Genomic DNA, 16123 nt, shown 5'->3' with positions numbered 1-16123 from the left:
CTAATTTAGAACATACCCAGTGGGACCTCAGAGCCCTGAAATGCTAAATGTAATCTGGGGATCAGTAACATTCCATTCATAAAATGTGTCACCCACAGGTTAATGGAAATAAACAATAGGGAAGACAATGGATGGATTATGCAAATACACTGAAAAGATTAAGCAGGGGGAGGGGACTACAAGAACCCAATTTGTGTTTTATTTAAACGTGGATTAAGGTTTATAATATACAAAATGATTAAAGGTACTTTGCTAATTTGCTAATGCTCTTAAAAGCACCACTGCACAGAAGAAACTATCAAAATAAATTGGTTATGGCTTTCTTGTGCGTGTGGGTGGAGAGTAGCGGAGTATGTAGCAGCAAGATTAAGAAAGGACATTTTTAGCAGTAAATACAATGATAAATGTGATATTCTGTTAAAAAAAAAACTTGAGTGACTAGATTTATATAACATTTATTTGCATCTGTGTGAGACTAATGAAAGTTTCACGAATATAAAATCCAATCCTAATATAAATTAAACTGCTGTTTTGTTTTAAAAAGGAGAAATCAATCTCTTCTATTAAAAAATAGTTGTATAAAACAAGTTAAACTTAACATATGTGCTTTTGGGGGAAATATGTTTAAATTATGGTGTGAGAAATATAATTTTATTATATCTGAGAAAATATGTCCACCAAGTGCCTGATTTATGCAAAATGACATGGAGATACATAAACTTCTTTCCAAGTTATTAGTTTGCAGATTTCTAAGTCAGAGCAAGGTGCCATCCTAAGTACAGCCCAGCTGCCTGTAGCACTTGATCCTGAGGTGGGAACTGCAGTCCTGGGAGGAGGCACTTTGCTGAATCTGGTTCAGCAAAGCAAGGAGCTCCAAAAAGATGAAATGGCCCTGATGTTCAGTATTGTTTAAGTGGAAATTGACCTGAAGCAGGACCCCCTGGTAAAGAGCAATAAACCTGTTACCATCAGGTAGCCATGAAATTCTGAGTAGCCCACTCACAATCCAGCCTTGTCTGACACTGATTTCAGAACATCCCCATGACCTGTCCTTCATTTGTTGGTGTGCAGTAGGAATATGTAGAACTAGAAATATTTGGGACAAATGACTGTATTCAAAAGAACTGCAGAGGGTTTATGTGTATTGTATGGGGAGGTAGAAAATTAGACATCATGGTAGACAGGCAAATGTCAGCAAAGGAAAGAGCTGGAATCTTGCTGTGGTATATGTGGCCACCCTAAACCACAAGTAGCCACAGGAGGAAATGAGGGAAATTATTTCATTTTCTCTTAGAACTTGAATAACAATTCTTAAACAAGAAATTATTGCAGAATGCATATTATCGCTTTACTCATGACCCTTGAGGTTCTTTTATTTACTGTATTCTTTTAAAACAAGTATCATCAAAACGTTTAAAACCTTTTTCATCACAGCTTATACTTTTATTGTTTAAGTCTTTGAAATCCTAGGGTTAGGTAAACTTTTAATAGTTAAAATTTCCCTGGATGAGTTCATGCTATAATATTTTCTGTTTGTTTCATGGTTCTTCATTAATGCCAAGTAATACAAGCAGGAATTATTTAGCAGTCTTGGGTATTAAATGTTTGACTCTTTTGTTCTTTCTTTTGTTTTTAAAGATACTGTTTTCCCTTTGGACGACCTGAAGGTGCTCTAAAAGCTACACTTTCATTACTTGAAAGGGTATGTTTGAACATTACTTTATAAATACTATTTGCTTTCTCAGTTGCTGTGTATTTTAGTTATTGAACTAGGGAGACAGACCCCGTTATTCTATGCTCTCTACTGATTCCATCACAAGTCATGAGTTTCTCACCTTTTCTTACTACATTCAGACTCTGTCTACAGCACTTCATTCTCCCTGAAGCCTTTCTGAAGCCTCACACTGAAATCCTATCCTCATATTATGGCATCTTTTTGGTAGTAATCATTTTTCCTACCTCTTTATTTCCCTCATGAAATACTTTTTTTTCAGTTAAGAATAATTGTTTTTGCTTCTCAGACTTTACAGTTGTCTTTTATTATCCTCCAACTTTATTTGTACTTCTACCTGTCGTAGTCCTCATGCCAACAAGTTTATCATTTACCATTCACAAATATATCATTTCATTCATTCAATATTCATCTCAGAATTTCTTTCAATTATTCCAGTGTATGTGTTACCTTAAATGAATTCACATATTATAGAAATGTTTCTCCCCCACAAAATAACCAGCAAACAAGATTTTTAATCCAGGTGAAAAAAATCATTTTTTAAGGAAAATATATTCTCTATTCCTATTTTTATGACAACTGAAGTTTCAAAGAGCAGTATTTTTTCATCTGTCTGTAATTTTATTCATATACTTGTTAGATGCTAACAGTTAAATAATGTGGCCAACTCCCATTTCTTACCAGAATTAAAATGAATTTCTAGATTCATCTGTAGCTCATAATTTGATTATTGTAATCCTGATTTATTGACTTCTAACACTTGATCTTGTCCATTTTCTGCTGAATTAATTTTAGATACTATATTGTTTATTAGCATCTCTATTAAAAAGCAAAGAGAGAAGACATTGTCCAGATATTACATCTCCATTTCATTGATTTAAGAACTTGGGAGATGAGGACTACAACTGATGATTAAAATGAGATCTTAGGATTACAGATTAATTTTATTTTTATATCCCTGTCTTATCCCTGATTGTTGTGGATTGTGTGATAGAAATGTGATTGTTGTAATTATGTTTTATTAGAATTTTTATAATACTGAAAGCTGCACATAACTCAGATTTTTCAAAGTATTCATGTCATCCTATTCATTAAGGTATTATGAATAAAAATCCTTAAGGATTGCTTTATTTTTTGGAACAACATCCCATCGTGGGTACCTAATACAGCTTCTCCATGTCCTGGTTTCCATGGCAGAGCCTCCTTTCTGCCCCCCAGTAGGGAAGACTTAGTGATGGCAGGATGCCCTCCTGCCCTCCATTGACAGGTGGCAGGATGAACAGGGACCTTTATTCCAGTTATAGTCACTGATCACATCTCCTGCTGAATTGAGACAGAAATGTTAAGGGTCATTTCTTCATTTTTATTTCTCTTTACTTACTGATATTGAAAAGTAAAACAAAAATATGCATGTGAATTCTTGAAACCTATGATACCTCGGAAGAACATGGGATGCAGCAGGAAATCGAGGTTGGCATCTCCCTTTTTGCATTTGCCAGCCCTTTACCTGTACTTTGCCAGAAAGTAAGTTTCTGGTTCCCAGATAATATGAAATATTACCTGGGAGACATATACATTCTAACTTTAACAGCCATTTTTGTTATGTAAAGTTTGTTGCCATGGGAAGTATAATAGTAACGTTCGTGGTTCCGCATATGAAACAAAATTAATCTTAAAGTTTAGTAATAATCACATTTAATGGTGCATGTATATTTTTTACTATGCACAAAAGGATTTTTCTGGCTGCAAAGTCTAATGTGCAGTGCTAATTAAAGTGCTAAATATTTGTCAGAATAATTGAATTTGATAGAGAGAGAATGATAAAGTTTGCTATTTTCAAAAAAGAAAACCTTGCCTAACAAAATATTTAAAATGTCATCAAAGAGTAGCCTTTAAAAAATGTTGTCAAAGGTCACTGATACTTGGATGATTAAATAAATCAGGGATGATAAAATCCTTAGTGCTGAGGCTGACTTACAAGAGAATGAAATAATACAGCATGAAATGGATGTTTTCATATTCTTTCAATATTCCTTTCAATATAAGACATAGAAATAGAGCACTTACGAAAGCATTGTCTTCTCTATATTAACATTCTGCCATATGTTTTGTAATCTGAATGAAAGTAAAGCAAGAATAAATGCATTAAATATGCAGAAAGATAGTTTTACTAATAGTGTAATCAAAACTTAATGTGAGCAGTTTTATCATTATGAAGGTTTTAAAGAAAATTATGAGTCAATGTAACAGTGTTTATAAATACATTACATTTTGAATTCTGGATGTAATTGCATTTTCCCCTTGCCCAGTAATAACATTTTTAAAGGAAAAGTCCAAAAACACATTTTAGGAGCCCAACAGAGAATAATCAGTTATTTTTTAAAACCATAGAAAGTTTTTATGTATTTTAACATTCGATACTTCATAAGCATTCATTTCACTAAGGCAAAGAGGTCTCCTTCTCCCTCTTTGAATACACTGCCGTGGTATTCACAGCAAATCACAATCATTAAAATTTAGTGAGATTAGAGGTCTTGATTTTTTTTTTTTCAGAGCTCAAAGATTATGCTTATTCTTAATGGAATTTTTGTTATTGTTCTCAAATATATTGCTCAAAAGACTCAAGGCTTTTAAATTAGGGATGTGCAAAACAAACTATTATTTGTCCCGAGAACTGTAATCTTTATCTGAAACAGCTGCTTTAATGGTGTCATGGGTCCCTGGAAGAAAAGTGACAGTCACACTGAATGGTGACCTGGTCTAGGGGAGGTTTTGATATGCATAAATTAGGCTTAGGAGGAGCTAAGGTGGGAGGATTACATTCTCAGTTGGGAAGTGCATTGCAGACCCATTACATCCCCCCAGGTTACCTAGGACCCCTCTCCCTAATAATAGTCAGATCAAGGACAATTTGTGTAATTTGTCTTTAGTATTTATTTTATGCAACATCTGTCTTTTTTCTTCCATCTGTCTATCCCCAACCCTGCCCCTCACCCTTCCACTTCCTCTCTCTGTAGGTTTTAATGAAAGATATTGCCACTCCCATACCAGCAGAAGAGGTGAAGAAAGTGGTCAGAAAATGTCTCGAGAAAGCTGCCTTGATCAATTACACTAGACTCACAGAATATGCCAAAATAGAAGGTCAGTGCAGTGAGCAATTGTCGAAGTGGCAGTGAGAGCCAACAATGCCTAGTAACTGAATTTTCTATGAGAAGTCCTTTCCTTTCCTGAACAATCCTGTGCCATGGCAAAGGGAAATGTCTCATTAAAATCTCAGCTGGTGAACTGAAGAGCTTTTTCCTATTCATTGCTTTAATATGCCTCCTGGGACTCTGCTTGAATGAAAGACCCAGGATTCGTGCTTAAGTTGTCCTTTGTTCTTATTTTGAGTTTTGAAAAAACCAAAAGGTGTTTTCATGGGTTGTATTTTTTGGCAGTACTTTAAGTATGTCTAACATTTAAACTATAGGCAGCAAAATCTTTCCTGATCAGTAACAGTGTAGTATTATGTAATTTTATTTTCTGTTCTGCAGTATCACTCAAAAAAGAAACTTGTTGATTATTGAGGGCTGAAATAAACTCATAGAACTTCCTTCGGTTTTTAATTGCTTGCAATGTACTGATGCATTTGAAAGATTAGATCTCTTGAGAGAACTGTGCTTTTTTTTTTTTTCTTTCTTCAGGCTTTATTCATTAAGGATACTAATTTTTTAAATGTTTAGAAATAAGTAGATTGGAATTTGTGGCAAAGTCACAAAATCAGCTTTTATTCAACAGTTTTATTCAACACATTAATTTATGTAATTAAAAGTAACAGGCCTCACATTTTTTGCTCAAATTGTCATAAAACTGGCTTTCATAATAATACATGCAGGATTAACTAATAGAGGGAAAAAATGCAGTTAATGTTAAATACTTATCTGAAAATAAAAGTTTCTTACCTGAAAATAAAAGTAAATAATCCTTTATAAAATTTTAGTAACTTTTTATATAAAATGGTACTCAAGGAATCATAGATTTATGAAGCAGTTGATATTAGTATAGTTTTACCAAAATTCAGGTAGGGAAAAAGATTGATGATAATTGTTTGTGTTATTATTCCTTTCTTCTCTCCAAATCTGGTCAAGCTTTCTAACAAGCATACGATAACCAACCTCCTGAGTGATTAACAAAAAAGCCATCTCATCACCATAACAACCAACATTATATCACGAGAGTAACAACATGAAACCTCCTTAGTTACCATTTTAACTTCATTAATTATGATATCATGTTGTGTTAAAGCAAAAGCAATGAACATTTGATCATTCGGGGAAAGTGGAAGATAAACACATTGGGTTTCAGTCTTAAATACTCATTCAAATAATTTTCATGTTTTGGGAGCATTGAGTATTCTGACACAGATTGGAAGAAATGATATTAAAATAGACATATTAAAGCCTTTCAGATCTGGCAAAGATAAAAGTTGTGGGGAACTTGAATAAACACCATATTGTTTTATGTAAATGTTATGTACTCTACCCAAAAAAACCTGTAAGAATCATTTTGCTCTCAACTGAGTTAATATTTTTGACTATTAACTTGTCCACGGATACAGAAAAGATATATGCAGTGCACTTTATCTTTGTATTTTATAGCCATAGAATCCATTTTAAATGGATAAAGAACCTTTTTATTGTACACATAAAAACAAGTCTCTGTTAGACAAGAGCCTATGGTAGTACCCAATGGACAGTGAGCGGGAAACTCTCCTACCTTTTCCCTTTCTGAAGTCACTTCTCTCTTATCTCTGGTCTAATGGAAGAATATTCTGGAAAATGGATCCTAGCAACCCACTGTGGTAGGAATGCTGAGCAGTCTTCTTTAAAAAATAGCAACAACAAAATGCTTGCTCATTAGGTGAGAAAAACTTCCATGTTTTTCATCATCTCCCTCTCCCCCTACTTTTTTCTTAAAAAAGAAAAAAAAAGTATTTATGTTTTATCCTCAGGACTAGACTAAGAACCAAATCAAACTTAAGTTAGAAAGTGGCCTTTTACATTATATGAACGACAAGGGTAGAGTTTGCTTTTCTCCTAAATTCTCTTTTCTTATGTTTTAGGCCCAGCAGAAAAGGAAACAGGTAATTAATATTTCTGCATGCACAAGCCATTATTTCTCATGTGGTGGTGTGATATTTTTAAAGCACTTTGTTGAGACATGATTGACAGGCAAGCTGTACATATTTAATGTACACAACTTGATGAATTTGGAGGTAAATAGCTGTGAAACGATCATTGCAATCTATAGCATAAACCTGTTCATCACCTACGAAAGTTTCCTCCTGCCCTCTTTATTATTATTAATATTTTATGATAAAAATATTTAACACAAGAGCTACCCTCTTTGCAATTTCTTAAAGTGTACTATATTGCTAACTATAGGCATTCTGCTGTATAATAGGTCCCTAGAACTTCTATATCTTGAATAACTTAGACTTTGTGCCCTGTGAATAATACCGCTTCATGTTCTCTTCTCCCAGCCCCTAGCAGTGACTGTTCTACTCTCTGCTTCTATGAGTTTAACTCTTTTAGATTCCTCATATAAGTGGTATCATGTGTTATTATGTACTGTGACTGGCTTATTTTACTATTAAGCCAGAAATTTGTTTTTTTAAGGCTGAATAATATTCTATTGTATGTATATTATGCATTTTCTTCATCCATTCATCTCTCAATGAACATTTAGGTTGCTTTCAATGAATAATGCTGCAATGAACATGGGAGAGCAGATATCTCTTTGAGATCCTGATTTCAATTTTTTTGGTTGTATACCCAGAAGTGAGATTGCTGAATCCTTTGGAGTTCCATATTTTATTTTTACAGAAGCCTCCATACTATTTTTCATAGTGGCTGCACCTAATTACATTTCTACCAATAGTATACAAGAGTTCTTTTTTCTCCACATCCTTGCCAGTACTTGCTATCTCTTGTTTTGTTTGTTTGTTCATTTTAAATAATAGTCGTCCCAACAGGTGTGAGATGATATCTCATTGTGGTTTTGATTTGCATTTCCCTGAAGATTAGTGATGTTGAGCACCTTTTCATTTATGTGTTGGCCATTTATTTGTATGTCTTTTGAGCAATGTCTATTCAGTTTCTTTTTTCATTTTTAAGTTGGGCTATTTGGGTTTCTGCTGTTAAGTTATAGGAGTTACTTAAATAGTTTGGATATGAACCCTTTCTCAAATGTATGGTGTGCAAATATTTTCTCCCATTCTGTACATTGCCTTTTTAATTTTGTTGTTTCCATTGCTGTTGGTAGTGTGATGTTTTGTCATTGATGAATAGCTCTCTTTTTCTCAGGGCTTCTATTAGATCATTTTGATTAGGAATTCTGAAAATGCTTTGATTTTGTCAGAATGATTGCTAATACTTTGTAGGTAAAGTATAGGCCATTCATCTCTAAAAATTCAGCAATATTTTTGATACAAATTTAAAGCAAAAAACCTGAGGCTATATGAATGGTATGCATTATGTTTTAAGCATATCCACCAATCTTACTTGGAAGCTGTCACAGATATTTGAAGGGCTCTTACAACAAGAAAAGAGGACCATTTTCCTTTATCACTCTTGAAAATAACAGAATAAAAAGCATAAATGCTATTAAATAAAAAGTAAGCAGTTATTAACTTTGAAAGTTGTTAATCACAGGAATGAACAAGGGTTATGAAATCCCATCAGGAAATTGCTAGGAAAGAGTTCGCTGAGTCGCTGAATTTTTTAACGTTCTATTATTTTTTTCTTGCATCCCTTATCACAATTATTCATTTAACTACGTGTGCCTGTTATGATGTGTTTCTCCTCTCTGTCTTCTCTTCAGCCCCATGCAGGCAGGGTCCTTACTGACTTGTTCACTGTTGTATTCCCAGCACCCACCACTGTGTCTGCTGACACAAAGTAGGCACTCTGGACTTTGGAGAGAGGTAGGAGATTAGTTAGTTCCATCTGAAAACAATGAAGTGAGAGACAAGTGATGAAACTTCCTAATCCTAGTTTTCTCATTTTGGTCAAATTTTGTATGCAATGTTATAAGCAAGTTTGCTTGGGTTGTTTTTAACTGAAGTCTTCTATTAAGGGCTCTATTTCTTTCTTTTTTTTTTCCCCTACCTTTTTCAATATTTGACCCCAGAAAGTGACAGGAACAAAACACTCAGAGCCACGAAGAGGAGAAAGAACACACCTACAATGATTGCTAAGTGCACTTTAGAGAAAAATGAATTAGAAAAAAATATGGGACTGATTGTCACCTCTTATGACAGCACATTGTAATAGCAACAATCCGATGCTCTTTAGCAAACTTTTTCAAACCTCTTAAGGCATTTTCTCCCCTACAACATTCCTGTTGTAGAAACAGCTTTCATCCTAGTTTACAAACAAGAAGTTCAGGGTTGTTCGTGGCTTTCCAGCTGCCATGGAGTAAATAACTCAGCCAGCTGGGGCTGGACTTAGGTGATCCTTAACCTCCAGAAGCTATGCTTCTTCCCCTGGGAGATATGAAAGGGTCAGAGTGCCCCTTTTTGAAGCCTGGGGCAGAGGCCATGTGTAGAGTTGCCTGATCTCCTTAAAGAGAGGAGAGAACAAAAGGGACTTGTCCCATATATACCTTGCTTCAACCAAACAGAAATCTTCTCCTCACAGTGACTTAGCAATCCATACCACTGGTCAACTGTACAGGTCGGCAACTCTAGGAAATATACTTTTATTAAAATGAAATGCTTGTTTAGAAAAGAGAAAAATCGGCCAGTCACAATGGCTCACGCCTGTAATTCCAGCACTTTGGGGAGCCAAAATGGGTGGATCACTTGAGGTCAGGAGTTCAAGACCAGCCTGACCAACATGGTGAAACCCTGTCTCTACTAAAAATACAAAATTAGCTTGGAGTGGGGGTGCATGCCTGCAATCCCAGCTACTTGGGTGGCTGAGGCAGGAGAATCACTTGAACCTGGGAGGCAGAAGTTACAGTGAGCCGAGGTGGTGCCATTGCGCTCCAGCCTAGGCAACAAGAGCAAAACTCCATCTCAAAAAAAAAAAAAACCAAAAAAACACAAAGAAAAATCAATGTAATTTATGTAATTTAAATTGATTGAAGGGAAAACTAAATTTAAGAATGTTCTGAAGTAACAGAAGATAGGGGTTTTTTAGAAATGTTGTTATATTCCAGGGAGAGCATGGTGGCTCATGCCTGTGATCCCAGAACTTTGGGAGGCTGAGGCAGGAGGATCACTTGAACCCAGGAGTTCAAGACTAGCCTAGGAAACATAGTGAGACCCCATCTCCACACACACACACACACGCCTCAAATAGCCAAGTATAGTAGCGCATACCTGTAGTCCCAGCTACTCATAAGGCTGAGGCAGGAGGACTGCGTGAACTTAGGAGTTTAAGACTGCAGTGAGCCATGATTGTGCCACTGCAATCCAGCGTGGGTGACAGAAGGAGACCCTGTCTCCAAAAAATATATTATATATATTAGTTATATCATGTTATTTGCATTTGGTAGCAAGGTAACCTAGCAGGGTTACCTTGTAAATGTTCTTGGTGGGGTGATGCTTTTAAAAGTGGGTAACAATGAAAATATCAATTACATGTGAAAGAACTAAAGAACTCAGATGGCTTGATAATACTTTGACACTGTAGTCTCTTGTAGTCTCTTGAGCATTCCAATAATTTTCCTCAGTTTATACCCTCTAGAAAAGAGTAAAGCTGTACCCAAAATTCATCATGATTTTGTCATCTACTGACTGCCTATGTGTCCCAGAGGTTTTCTTTTCTTTTTTTCTTTTTTTTTTTTTTTTTTATTTTAACAGAGTCTTGCCTTGTTGCCCAGGCTGGAGTGCACTGGTACAATCTCAACTCACTGCAACCTCCGCCTCCCGAGTTCAAGTGGTTCTCCTGCCTCAGCTTTACAAGTAGCTGGGATTACAGGCATCTGCCACCACGCCTGGCTAATTTTTTGTATTTTTGGTAGAGATGGGGTTTCACCATGTTGGCCAGGCTGATCTTGAACTCCTGACCTCAGGTGATCCACCAGCCTCAGCCTCCCAAAGTGCCGGGATTACAAGCATGAGCCACAGTGCCTGGCCTGTCCCAAAGGCTTTCTATTTATACTGCTTCATTAGTTGCTTAAATAGCTCTACAAAATAGGTATTTTATGGAGAGTTCACTGAGACTTCTGAAAAAAAGCGTTAACTTGCACAAGGTCCTGCTGTTGCCATTAAAACTGAGCAGATATGAGATTCATACTTGCATCTCTCAGACACCAGAGCCCTCTTCACATTCTTTTCACTGGCTGCCATGCCTCCAAGACTGATTCAAAGTAATGACATTTTATGATAAACACCTCAGCTGCGTCACAAAAGCCAAAGATTAATATTAATAAAAGCCACTCTTTCCAAAAATAATGATAATTATTTAGTAAAAAGAGAAAATGCTTATATACCAGGCACTATTCTAAGCATTTTATATGTGATGTATCAACTAATTTACTTCTTTGTTTCCCTCCCCACCCCCACCCCCGCCCCCGATGAAGTCTTGCTTCGTCACCCAGGCTGGTGTGCAGTGGCACGATCTTGGCCCACTGCAACCTCTGCCTCCCAGATAATTTTTGTATTTTTAGTAGAGCCGGGGTTTCACCATGCTGGCCAGGCTGGTCTCAAACCCCTGACCTCGTGATCCACCCACCTCGGCCTCCCAAAGTGCTGGGATTACAGGCAACTCAATTTACTTCTTAAGACAATACTTTGCAATAAATAGTATCATTATTATTACTTCTTCTCAGAAAACTGAACCTGAGAGGTTATGTAGTGTGTCTACAGTCCCATAGCTAGTAAGTGGGAGGTTCAGAGCCCACTGTCTGTCTGTTGATCTCTTCTTACACTCCCCGCCCTTGACGAGCTTGTCTAGTTAAATTTGCACTGGGCTAAAATCTTTTTGTTTATTTTTCCCCACATTCCTCACGATGTCAGGTGTTGAAAGTGATTCAAATTTGCAAAACTTACCCCCAGTCCAGAAGATTTATCCCCCTCTCCTGCTTTATTTTCTTCCACAGCGCTTATTATAATCCAACACAATGTATAGTGCATTCATCCCACTTATTGTCCTAGAATGTTAGTTCCAGGAGGACAGACAATTTTGTATTTTAACAACTTCTTATCCACAGTGCCAAGAGATGTGCCCAGCACATATTTGGTACTCAGTAAATATTTATTGGATAAACAAATGAATTTATCAAGCTACATAATAGCAGAAAGAACATCCATAAACTGGCAAGCTGGCTTGCAAAAAGTCTTTCAAACCAATTACTAAATAATTAAAATTTAGGGCAAAAACTAACACTAAAATAACAGGATTGGAAAAATTAAGCCATAATTTCTTGCTCTTATCACGGCAGGAAGAAGTGGGGGAAGCACTAATGCTGGATCAGAGAAGCCAGAGGTTATAGATGGCAGTTACATTAACAATGCCCAGTAATCTAGCCTGTTTTGATTGTTTTTGTAATTCAGTGTGCTGCTTAATTGTGACTCATAGTTCTCTTCCATCATCATAGTTCTCTTCCATTGGGAATTCTTCCAATTCTCCACTGGCAGCACAAATTTGCAGAATAAAAGGATTTTTAAATTTCATAATGGGTTAAATAAAACAAAGGACTTCCCTCTAAATGTCTTCTTTCTTTCTTGGGAATTATTTGCATGTTTCATAGAAACAGTTATTTTGAAAACTGGACATTTCTAGAAAGCAGCTGTTTTTAATCTTGGGGTTATAAAATGCTACCATTTCATTGAATTGCCTCTTTTGTGTTAAGAAATCTTTGACTTACCCTATTAAAAATCAAGTAGTTTTCTCCTTTGCTTTAATTTTATCACTAACCTACTAGCTAAATAATAGTGAGATCTTTTTTTTACTTGTAATTCTGGCATGCAGAGATAACACTGAAGCATCATGTTTCCTAATTGTTTTTTAAATCATGTGCCTTGTTGATGCAAATTAGATATTATTTTAAAAGAAGAATCAATTTGTTCTTTGGTTCAAAGACTTTCTCACAGACAAGAGCGCAGTCATACATTTGATAACAGTTCCTACTGTTTCCTGAAAATTATATAGCATATTGTGATTTAAGATATAAAAGGGGAGACTGCGCCTTAGGACTTGCCTGGACATGAGATCTTTTGCATAGACTTGGTACCTAGGCTTATGGTGAACCTAGAAATGTGGAGGTGCCCTGAACAAAAGGTAGCATGGAATGAATAAGCAAAGTCTTTGGGAGGTGAGGATTTTTCTTGGCCTTCTAGTTGCCAGGTTCCCAGGTTTAACCCCTGTGTTCTTATTTTCAGAGCCTCAGTTGAATGGGGTAGAGATGCTTTCCCAGAGGCCCAGACTGCCTACTGTCTTTGAGAGGAGAAGTTGTACTGTGGCAGTCCTTATATCATTAGGATGTGTGTGTCATCTGGGTGGTGTTTTAATTTAACACTCCATTGTACACGATAGCAATAAGTAATAAATAAAATCTGTTCTACTTAAGAATGTTTGTGTCTAGAGGCCACGTGTTTATTAAAAAAAAAAACTGCACAGTTTGTGGCAAATTTTTGTTAATGGTGAATAATTTTTACTAATATTTCTAAGATGATATAACAGTTTTCTCTGATAAAAGTTTTATGTGGCTCCTTAGGAAGTTAATTTGAATTTTGAGTATTGTGTGTCCCCATGAACTGAAGTTTCTGACACCTAAATAATAGACCTGAAATTTCATGTTCCCATAGGCACCGACAATGGCAAAAAGTAATTTGTATCTTAAACTGAATCCTCACCCTAAAAAGAATTGAACAGGTAATTAAAGAATTTCCATTTAGCTTTTTGGACAGTGTGGCTTGGATAATGAGAACTTGGCCTGAAAGTAAAACCTCTGTGACCATTTCTGCTTCTAAGTCACCTGTTGATGAGGGACAAATTGTTAGATACAAATTGTTTGCTTTAAAACAAAGACAGTAACCTGTTGTCTTTTTCTTTAGAATATTTAGGAAATTATAAATTTGTTCAAGGTTTTAGTTTATAAAGCAATACATGTATGATTTGTAAAAACTCATTGCTTGAGCTATACTGATCTAGTATGTGTGATCACCTGGATAGGGACCAAATTGAAACTTAGTTTTGTGATATATATTTTAAAAAAAAGCTGTGTGTGTGCATGATTTTTCAACTTCACGTATTATTTGGAAAATATTGGTTTTGTGAGTTATCCCTATATTAGCAAGTATTATATCAAAAATATCACCACTTTTAATATCACCCTTCTCATCAGAAACATCTTAAAGTATTGAGAAGCTATCAAGTTTATAACAGATACAAGTTTTCTAAAATTCTAATTTTCCTTGAAGACTCTAATAATAGCATTGTGGTAACAAACACTGGTTGTTTTTCTTAAAGTGACATGTTTACTTTATTCATTTGTTTTCTCAGAAAATGTCTGCCAAATAGCCAACTCTGAATAACTATACATTGTCAGTACTCTTTTCTACCAAAAATGATTCTGTAAGTGTGGGGAGGAGAGAGGCCCTGGATGCAGATAGTCACACAAATGCTTTTCCTTGAGACAGTCATTCATTGTACTTCAATATGCAAAAGTTCTTTAGGCAAACTTCCCATTTTGTCACACATACTATTTAAAAATGTATACTCTGCCGGGTACAGTGGCTCATGCCTGTAATCCCAGCACTTTGGGAGGCCAAGGTGGGCGGATCACCTGAGGTCAGGAGTTCGAGACCAGCCTGACCAACATGGAGAAACCCCATCTCTACTAAAAAAATACAAACTTAGCCAGGCATAGTGGTGCATGGCTGTAGTCCCAGCTACTCGGGAGGCTGAAGCAGGAGTATCGCTTGAACCTGGGAGGCAGAGGTTGCAGTGAGCCGTGATTGCGCCACTGTACTCCAGCCTGGGCAACAACAGCAAAACTCCGTCTCAAAAAAAAAAAAATATATATATATATATATATGTGTGTATATATATGTATAGGTATACACATACACTCAAGGGCAGAGGTTTAATCAAAGTAATATTTTTACTGTTTCATCAAGTACAGCTTTATATGATACTGGCTTTTTCTTTTACTTGAGTGCATGGTGTTAAAGAATACAGTGACAATTATGATTTGCAACCACAGCCTTGATTCATGCTAAGGCAACGGTGATTTTTACGTACTATTGCTTTTGCACCATTAGTGTAAATGTCAACAGGATGTAAAAGGCAAAAACATTTAGTATTATTTATGAAAGTAATTTTAATCTTGCAGATCCCTGAAAGGTTTTAGGTGGTCTTCCCAGTGGTTCATGGGCCACACATTGAGAACCACTGCTCCACTCCATCAATCCACTAGCTAAAAAATATTAACAAAAATGAGATAACTTTCACAGTAACAACCAAACTGTAAGGTATCCAGGAATTAGCTTTGATAAAAACATGCGAAACTTTATAGACCTCTATGAAGAAAATTTTGAAACTCACAAGTCATAGAAAGTAATCTAGATAGAGATAGAGCTATTCCATGACCTAGGAGGGATGACTTAATAATATAAGATATAAATTCTTCCCTCAAATTAATGTATAAATTCATTGCAGTATCCATCAAAATTCTAGTTTTTTAAAGAACTTGATAAATTTACCTTAAAATTTAAATAAAGTATACTGAATAACTAAGTCAACTTAGAAAAAAAAAAGTGTTATCTAAGACAAGTTACAAAGCCATCACCAAAGCCCATGATCCGGCAGACGACTACAAGCATAGGGTCAGATCCATCTATAAATGAGAGCCTGACATACTTCATCTATAGCAAACATGGGAGACAAATCAGTGGTAAAATGATACAGTGTTTGGGAAGTGTTATTTGAAAGATGGGCTTATTTAATGTATACAGATGAACTCAATTCCTCTGTAATAGAAACTTGTTCTCCAGAGAGATTATAGATCTAAATGCAATGAAGAAAATACCACTATAAATTTAGTACTCTTTATTGTAATTATCCCCAATGGTTATTTTTACTTTCTCACTTCTTAGATGATTTTCCAAGTTTGTCTAGTATCTGAGTTAAAACAAAATTTTTAACTTTCTTATAAAACATAGCGTGCCCCCATTTTAGTTCATTTTCTACATAGAAATAAATAAAACACTTAGATAACAGTTCAGAAATAGTTAATTAAATATATCCCAGATTCCCCACGATCTGGAAAAATTATATACTTCAAAATACTTCTGTCTGGTGGATATGTGTCTTCTAAAAAAGAAAAGAAAAAAGAAAAAGTTAAAACACACACACACACACACACACGGCATTTATGTAATGTCTTCTTCAGTTTGTT

General features: G+C 35.7%; 1 protein-coding gene across 29 annotated transcripts in view; it reads left to right on the top strand.

Moving 5' to 3' along the window:
- The window catches only part of CADPS2 (calcium dependent secretion activator 2), a 568050-nt gene that overhangs the window by 443247 nt on the left and 108680 nt on the right, over window positions 1-16123 (top strand). For 17 of the 29 annotated variants that reach the window (NM_001363395.2, XM_047421033.1, XM_005250706.6 and 14 more), the window contains 3 exons: window positions 1639-1702; window positions 4750-4873; window positions 6834-6854. In NM_001363395.2, coding sequence (NP_001350324.1) covers window positions 1639-1702; window positions 4750-4873; window positions 6834-6854 — 209 coding nt within the window. The remainder of the gene's footprint in view (window positions 1-1638; window positions 1703-4749; window positions 4874-6833; window positions 6855-16123) is intronic. The other 12 variants (NM_001363398.2, NM_001009571.4, XM_047421032.1 and 9 more) reach the window with 1 other exon arrangement.

Source organism: Homo sapiens, chromosome 7 (genome assembly GCF_000001405.40).
Source record: "Homo sapiens chromosome 7, GRCh38.p14 Primary Assembly".
In the NCBI taxonomy this organism is placed as follows: Eukaryota; Metazoa; Chordata; class Mammalia; order Primates; family Hominidae; genus Homo; species Homo sapiens.
Note: the sequence above shows the minus strand (reverse complement) of the source record. Positions and strands in the feature narration are given on the sequence as shown.